Here is a 9,260-nt window from a genome sequence, read left to right as displayed (position 1 = left end):
TATCTCTCTCTTGCACAATGACTTCCAGTTCCATTCGGACAATATTGGGGGTGAGAAGGCATGAGCAAGAGAGGAAGGAGCATTAGATCATAATATTTATGCCCAGATTCCCTCCCATGTACGCCATCAGGGGCCTACTGCATCCCTCAATATGAGGCCTCAGGTTATCCCTTCCCTTGTTTTTTCAGACCCAGAGGTGGTAATAGTGCCCAGCTGATGCTGGCCATAGGGTGCTACACTAATCCTTGTGGTCTTATATTCTGCTCATGCCTTTGTAAATAATCCGTTCAAATCATCTAAATTTGAGTGTGCCATTGGTTTCTTGCTTCCTGACTGATATGGAAGAAACAAATGAATAAATAATTGAATACATGTATTCTATGTAAATAAATGATTGAATTATTTTTAATGCCTTTTTAATTCTTATTTTATATTTTTGTGGATACATAGTAAGTGTATATATTTATGGAGTATATGAGATGTTTTGATATAGGCATGCAATGTGAAATAAGCACGTCATGGAGAATGGGGTATGAATGGTTGAGTTAAATAACTGGGTGAATTAAAGCATGAATGAATGAATGGGTATGGAGATGAATGTATGAAAACAGAATGCAGGCACATATAACATATATCTATTTCATGCATGAATAATTGCATAATAACTAAGCAAATGAATGACACCCATGTAAAAAACTGAATGGAAGCATGAATGAAGAATGAATTCATAAAAATGTGATTTAAGACCAGTTTTAATCAATTTCAATGCCTGACTTTACCGCCTCCCAGGCACCACATGCAAAGAAAAGGAATGGATGAGCTTCTCCCTAAAACAGAGCTGTTACGTGAAAATCTAGTCCAGAGAGGCGCTGAGAAGTTAACTTAGGAAAAATGTTTTGGGAAAAGACTAAGTTAAATTTTAAAGAGAAGGACAGAGAGTCATGGTAGAGCTTTCTATAGAGGAGCAGAACATAGAGATGGAATATAGGGAGTGGAAGGAATGAAGCTTCCTTTCTCTAGAGGGAAATTAACAATAGTTCACAGGCTCAGAGAAAGGCGCCGTGGAACAGGAACCCAGCCGGCAAATACTGCCATGAGGATCAATTGTCATGGATGGGAGAACTGGGAAGCATCTAAATGCTACATCTGGGTGCCAAAGTGGAATGAATCAATGAAATATTTTTTCTCAAGACTCAGATATCATCCATTAAGCTACTTGATCATGTTACAGAAAACACTTTCCAAGGGATCATGGTCATTAGCACAAGGTCACTGATCTCACTCACTTGTTCTAAACATGATGGCCTGGTCAAGATTCAGTGCTTCTGTATTCATGCCAAAACGTGCAGACGACGGAATTAGAAGCAATTTAAAAATCACGAAACACCACATGTCAATATGAGCCCTTGTTTTCTAGTTTACCTCTCCCCAAGCTCAAATTCCTATTTAATAATAAAAAAGAGATAATAGGACACATCTGTATTTACATGTGTAGTCCAGGAGGACACAATTCACATGCTAGAAACTTTAAATTCTGAAAAATATAAAAGAGATCATTCAGGAAAATGGATCATGACTTTTCCTTTGGAGAACTCATTTCTGGGGATTTTCTTAGGGAAATAATCACAAATATAAGAAGATGTAGGGGCAGGGATGTTCACTGAAACATTGTTTATCTAAATTTTTTTAAAAAGACAACTTAAATTTCTACTACTAGGAGACTGTAAAGCAATGGCTAATAATAGGTGACACCTGTCAGGCATTGATCAATGTATTCTCTCTCCTTTAATCTTCACAAGAGTCTTAAGTCACTATGTATGGCTATTATACCCATTTTAGAGGTAAGGAAACTGAGGTGCAGGGAATTCAATTTATTTTCACAAAGCTAGAAATTGGTGAACCTGGCATTTGAACTGAGACAATCTGGCCCAATGTCTAGCTAGGCTCATAAAATAATGTCATACTGTCCTTATATAGTCAAAATTCTTGACTATTGTCATTGATAAGGAAGGATGCCTACAGAAAACTGAGTTAATGAAGCAGGTTAAAGAAACAGCACATACAACCAGATCTCATGCATAGAAAACTATGAACACAAGCACAGACAGATATCTGGATGAATGGTCACCAAAATGGTAAAGGTGGTATTCTCTGGTGAGAATATTACTTTTTGGGGGAATTTTCTATATACATAGGATTTCTTACAATTTGTAGGTGTCATTTTAACAAAAATAATAAAGCTAATGCCAAAAAATCAAGCAAAATCTTGGTTGAGTGCTCATCTATTTCACACCTAGATGCATGCTATCTTTCATCCATTGCCGTAGGTACTGTAAATGGAGGCACCTTGATTGCTACTCTGGCTTTGCTGCAGACACTACACCATTTTGCCTTCGATGCTTAAGTGCTGTCTTCTAGCTGCTGCCATTCTGGAATCCCAAAATCCCCACTGACATCAGGGAACCCCATTTCATGAAAGCTTCTCTCACTCTCTGCAGGAAACAGGGACAATTCAGCCTGCAGAAAATAGCTATTACCAAGCTTTTCCAATAAATACTAGGGGCTTCTCATCAGTGCATTCCTTATTACCTCAGTACAGAGAGTGGTTGGCCCATTTGGAGAACACAGATTTTGAGTTCTTAGACCTTACATAATAAATCCATTCTAATATTTCCTATACCAAGAACCAATTTAATACCATGCCAAGGAAATTCTGGAAGCTCCACTTCATTTACTGTCATCCTTCATCATGTCCAGAGTTCAACAAGCCATCACAGAAAATTCCTAGAACTAATTATTCCAGGGTCCCTCCCAGGCGTTAAGTCCTGAGTCATGAGTGAGTATTCGTATGTCAATGAATTTCCTTTCTCCAGCCTGTTGTACACTTTTCCCACTGAAAAAACATCTTTGAGATAATATATTTTACCTTATTTTTTTCTGTGCATATTAGCAAGGTTCTGTAATTCCTTTGGTATGTAAGCCATTTATTCCAATAATAGGGCTTGTATTTCACTTCTAAGGCTGGGCTTTGAGTTGACTCTGGTTATAAGTCTGTAAAATAAGGGGCAGGGGAAGGGGGAATATTCTTGAGGGGAATCGTTGAGGAGAATCTGTGTCATCTTGTGAGGCACATGCTTCATGTAAAGCCATGGTACACTCTTCAGACAAGGGAAGACTTTTCTTCAGGGGAAAGAACTGTTTCTGACAGGTAATATGGCTCAGGGAAATCTGAAATTTAAGCATCTCAGAATCATCCACCAATATTTTCCTTATACCCAGTCTCAGGGTCACTTTTTTCCCCGATCAGGGCCCTGATTCTGATGTAGGAGTTTTGCTGAGGCCATGCATCTATCTAGTCTCCTTTGCAGTACTGCCACTTAATAATCAGATCTGAGCTGATTTTCAGCACAGTCTGCAGGAGATGAGCTGCCATAGAAACTTTCTGGCTTTCAAAGCATTCCTTGGGTTGGCAGTTAACTAACAAACCTATCATTTTCTTTTTCCAAGGCCTTCCATTTGGTTGTAAGAGATCATCCCACTGTACAATCCTAAAGATTAATGAGGACCCTATACTGATTTAGAGAAACAGGGGTTTGGTCTCAATACCTTACCCTCTATCTTTACCCAATCCCAATTAATCTTATATTAAAACCTTAGTAATGCATCAAATGTTAGTGCTACCCTGCTTACCTCCAGTGATGGGAATCCTTATTGCTTTCAGGTATGCAGTAATTCAATTTGCAGGTCCTTTCTTTTCCCCAGCCTGGATTTGTTGACTAAAGCACTCTTGACAGTCATGTGAAGTATCGCTAAGCCAAACCTTCCAGGTTTTGGAAGCCAGAGTGGATGGGTGTCAGGCAAACAATCCCAAAAAATTTACACATGCTCTCATACTCAGCTCCAGTCTTAGCCCTGTTGGTTGCACAAGAGGATAGAGATCTCTACCTCCTGAGGACACGCACAAGTAATTTACATATGGTGAAAGATGAATGACCAGGAAGTTTTCAAAAAGATGCCCACCCTCACTGGTATTCAGGAAAACAAAAAGTAAAATAACAATGAGATATAATTTTTTTCACACTTAAAATGGGGAAAAATGAAAAATATTGCTAATATTCAGTATTGGTAAGAATGCAGGCAAGGGACTGTCAAATACAGTTGATGAACATGTCAGTTGTCTATATCAATCATCAATCATGTATCACCAATCATGACACATGATTTTTGGAGATATAACATTTTTGGAGACCCATTTGGTAGTGTCTGTCAAAATTTTATGTGCCCGTGTCATTTGACCCAATGATGTCATTTCTAGAGATCTATTCTACAAAAATATAAGCAAATGTGAGAAATGCACACATACTAACATATAAATGCTTATCACAGCAATTGTTCTGAGAATGAAATATTGGAAGTACCTGAAAATCCACCAGTAAGGGAATAATTAAATAATTTACGGGATAGCCACACTGTGCAACCAGCAAATTTAACTACACTGAAGTGGAAAGGTGATTAATGAAACATCAACTCATGAGCAATATGTAGATCATAATCCTACTTATGCAGAATCACTATACATATTTATAAATGCACAAAAGATTTGATGGATACATCCTGAGTCATTAACAGCACTTTTTTCCAGAGAGGGAAATAGGATTGGAGGGGGGGATGTAGAAGGAGACTCTTACTTTTGCTATACATCTGTGTAGTATGAATTTTTACTGTGAGCATGTACTACTATATAATTTTTAAAATAATTGTAATCTGTGTTCATTCCCACCTTGCAAGATTTTATGATTGTACTAAGGAATCTACCTATATGTATCTGAATCTGTTAGAGGATGTAGGGAATTCATTATATTGGCCTTTAATAACATTCTGCTGTTCCATCATTCCAACTTGTTCCATCATTAATAATCCAATACTTATTAATGCTAAAGGAGAATTGCATGCTTTTGTTTTCTAATGTGAACAAAATAAACGATCGCATGCAATGCATTCATTTTCCCTAACAAACAGTTACTAAATGTCTTCTCTGTGCCAAGCATTTTGCTAGGGCTTGACTATACGTGGTCCCTGCACTAAACTAACTGGTGAGAAAATAGATTGTAATTAATAAACAAGCCAGCTATGGCCACATTCATCAAGACTGTGGTTTAATATTTTCCTGGCACAAGTCTGAAACTTTGCCTTCTCCTAGGCCAGGACTCAGGAAGGTCATTTAGATGTGGCAGGCAAAGACAGTGTCTCTTCCTATAGAAGCCTTTGCTGGATACTGGAATAGAACCCATTTAGAGGGTACAGTTAGGGGCAAGGGGGCACTGGGAAGAGCGAAAGCTTTGCAGCAGACACTTCTGTGCCTCCTGGGGCTCTGTATAATGCAGCCACCCTCCCTCTAATGAGCTGTGTATACTGTCCAGGACCATTTCTAATAATAGCTGCCTTGCACATTTTGTTTTGAGAATTGGAGATTATAGATATAGAAATAGATATATTGCAATATATAATAAAGTATTAATAAGTAAAAGTTAATACATCTGTTTTTGAGGCAGGATCTCACTCTGCTGCCCAGGCTGGAGTGTAGTGGCACAATCACAGCTCACTGAAGTCTGGGCTTGAGCGATACTCCACGCCCAACTAATTTTTTGGTAATAATAGTGACAAGGTCGCACTATTTTGCCCAGGGTGGTCTCAAATTCCTGGGCTCAAGTGATCCTCCTGCCTTGCCCCCTCAAAGAGCTAGGATTACAAGCATGAGCCACTGTGCCTAGCCAACAGTTATTTTCATCTGGAAACAAACAAACAAACAAAAGACAGCAGGAATGAAAAAGTCATTTAGGGCCAGAGGTACTTCTGGAACCTACAACTTTCACTGGAGATTGGAGATATAGGGGCCAGGGAGTTTCAGGGCTCTGAGAGTTACTAGGGTAGCCCAGGAGGTGGGGAATGCCCCTGCCCTCACCAAGTGTGAACCTCAGTTTGGAGCGAGGAGCCTGCTGTTGCTGGTGTCAGATCATAAGTCTGTACCCACACTACCCCCACTTGCCCCCAGCACCCTCTCCACACTGAGGCTCAGGACCTTTGCATAGTGTTTACCTTCTATCCCCTGATACTGCTCTTGAAGGCTCCTAATAGGGCAGCTGGGGAGCTTGGGGTATGCAGGTAGGGAGAAAAATTGTTGCTGTGTAGTCTTGAAGGGCCATCACTTGGGAACCTGCTAAAGTTTTTCTAAGTATTCAGAGAGATCCAAACATCTACCATACCAGATGCCCATGTGGTTATTCCTCTTCTTCCAGCTCCTCACTTCCTAAAGGATCCAGCCCAGAACAACTCACCACCAAAAGCCTTGTTCCCTCTCTTTGCTTTTCTTAGAATATTCCTCATATTATCTCTCCATACAGTCCCTACATGCGAGTAAGGCATCGAAAGGACAGGGCTCATGGCAGGGGAATGGGGTACTTTTGAAGAGGGAATATCTGGAAGTGGGTAGACTGAACAGAAAGGGCGTATTGACCTCTAAGGGGAAGTGTTGGAGGCTTTCGTCTCCATTTCCATCCTTCTTCCTTCCCCCCAAGAATTGGTCCTCATATTGGGTAAAAACTGCTTAAGAGTAAGGCCATTAATTGGTCCAGATATTAAGGCATTATCCATCTCTCTGTAAGGATTTGGCACAAGGGCTTTGGGTTTTCTTTGTTTGTTCATTTGTTTACTTTACTTAAAAAAGTCATTATTATTCTCTTTCTCTTCCTCTACCTCAATCTTATCTTCCAGTTGCTTTGCTAAGTTTCCCTATGACAACAGTGCCTCAAATTTTATCTTGTAAGTCATTACACTTTATTTCTCCTTAGCAAAAATGTTACCAAAAATATGTGTAAGAAATAATTTGTTTTGGAATTGCTTTAAGAAAAACATAAAAAGCCTCCTGAGATGATTGAAAATATATCCTAGCACTAACTTATCAACTATCAGTGAACTGACTTATCATTCGAAAGGCATTGCTAAAATATATATATATATATTTTAAAGGTAAAATCGTGATTCTCGTAAAAATGTTAAAATGGACATGTGTCAAAGGTTTTATTTATTAATTAACGAGAGAACATGTAAAAGATATAACTGGTTCAAAGGTGAATTCAAAGAGAGAGTGAAGGAATGCTGAAACGAATTTACAAATAGATGCAAAACTGGCTTTTTCCACAGGGCATGGAACGAAATCAGTTGTCCCTTCACTGGACAGAATTCATATGCACATTATGGACAAGAGTCAACTGCAGACTCTGTCATCTACAAAGTTGTACGTAGCTCAAATAAAATTGAAGGAGGAGATACCCCACAAGGATGCATAAGACAAAAGACTCAGTAAACTTTTTTTGCCATTTCACAGTCTAGCACAAATTTTTCTGACTGTTAAGTCAGGATACTTAATTCTTTGTTCACAGTATATCATTTATATTTGTTTAAAAAACAATTTGATACTGCTGATATGGCTTTTTATTACTCGTTTGAAACTATGAGAAGAGGAATCCTAGACAGAGGAAAAATTATCAATGTAAAAATTATTTTTTTGCCAATCTGGACATATTTGTATAAGTATATGCTACCAAGGAGTGTGACTATTGAGTTCATGAATATTAGGGTTGCCAAAAACATACAGGATTGCCAGTTGAATTTAAAATAAATAACAATTTTTTAAAGTATATGTATGTGTCAAATGTGATAAGAAAAGAGGAAAAATGGCTGCTGGGTAAGCGATTACAATTTGTACCTCGCTAGGCTAGGTCTTACTTTGCTTTTCCTAGGTGCAAAGAGATAATAGTTTCAGAACATGGAATAAGCTGAAAGTGGTTTGTTAAGTTTCTTTTAACTTTACTTTTATTAATTATCCAAGATAGTGCTAAGCAATAGTTATCACCTTCACTTCTGCATGCACACACCAGGCCCAACTGCCCAAGAGGAGATGTAATCCGATCATAGTTATAACTTCCTTGGGCAGGAATGGTGAGCCTGTGGTGACAACTCATCATTCCTTGCTTATCTCAATTAAGGCAGCTTAGATTATGATACCCAGTCACAACTTTCTAGCTCATTCAGGACACTGAAGGACACATTCCTCCTTCTTTTCTAATAAAAACTCAATAACTAGCAAGCACAGCTTCTGGACATAGAAGGACATCTCAGAAGAATTTGACAACTGTGACATATTTTATTCCCTGTTGCATTACATATAATTAATCTTTCTGGACAAGGTCACATAGACCTTGGTTTGCTCAACAGTTAGTTTGTAAATTCCACCCACTCTGCAAAACAAAGGAAAAAGCCATAGTGTGGTGAAGGAAGAGTGTCTCCTGTAACACCAACAGAGGCCAGAATAGTGTGAATAAAGAAGAAGGTAAGATTCTAGAAAAGTTTCACAGGTAGAGTCAATAGTTTGGTTTGTGATTTGATAGAAGAACTAAATGGAGGCAGGAGTTGAGAAGAATGCCCGGGTTTCTGGGATTTGTAGCTGAAAGAATTGTGGGGCCATTACTGAGGTGGAAATTAGGGGAGGAGAAACAGGTTGGTTTTTATATAAAAGAGACTGTGTAAAGGTGGGAATCTGAATTTCATTACTTTTCTCTCCTGAATATTCTCCTTCCCTGCAACGGCTTTTCCACATTCTGAATAATTTTACCTAGCAAAGGACATTAAATTTCAATTCATTCTCTCTTTAAAAAAAAACAAATACCAATTATCATCTTATCAGAGCTTCTGGTCAGCCTGAGATTATCAGTGTTCCCATAGTGAATTCCCATAAATTCCAACCCAAAGCAAATAAACAAGAAATTTTAATCACCCTACTCAGCCTGTTGAGAGGAAATAGACAATTTTCTTTTAGGTCTTTCAACATACTGAAAATAGCTTGGAGGTCTCCCTGAGTGCCTGACTCATGGTTGGTGCCCTATAAATAACAACTGAAAGATAAATGAATAAATCTTTTTTATATGTCCTTTAGCTCTAATGTGTAATTCCAAGGTCTACTGGAAACTCCTTTTTTCCATAATCACTAGTACCTGGCCCCTATTGATTTTGATTAAGTATGTGGGGTCTATTTTTGTCCATTACTTAGCTAATGTTGCACAATCTTATCCATTACAACAACACAAACAACACAGGAACATGGCACTCAGTCTAAAATCTGTTGGCTTCCCATGCTGAGTAAGGCCCTAACTCCTCAGCTTTACAGCCTTTGATGTTTTGGCTCCCACCAACCCTTCCAGCTA

Source organism: Homo sapiens, chromosome 3 (genome assembly GCF_000001405.40).
Source record: "Homo sapiens chromosome 3, GRCh38.p14 Primary Assembly".
Lineage (NCBI taxonomy): Eukaryota > Metazoa > Chordata > Mammalia > Primates > Hominidae > Homo > Homo sapiens.
The sequence above is the reverse complement of the archived record's forward strand: the minus strand, read 5'-3'. Positions refer to the sequence as shown.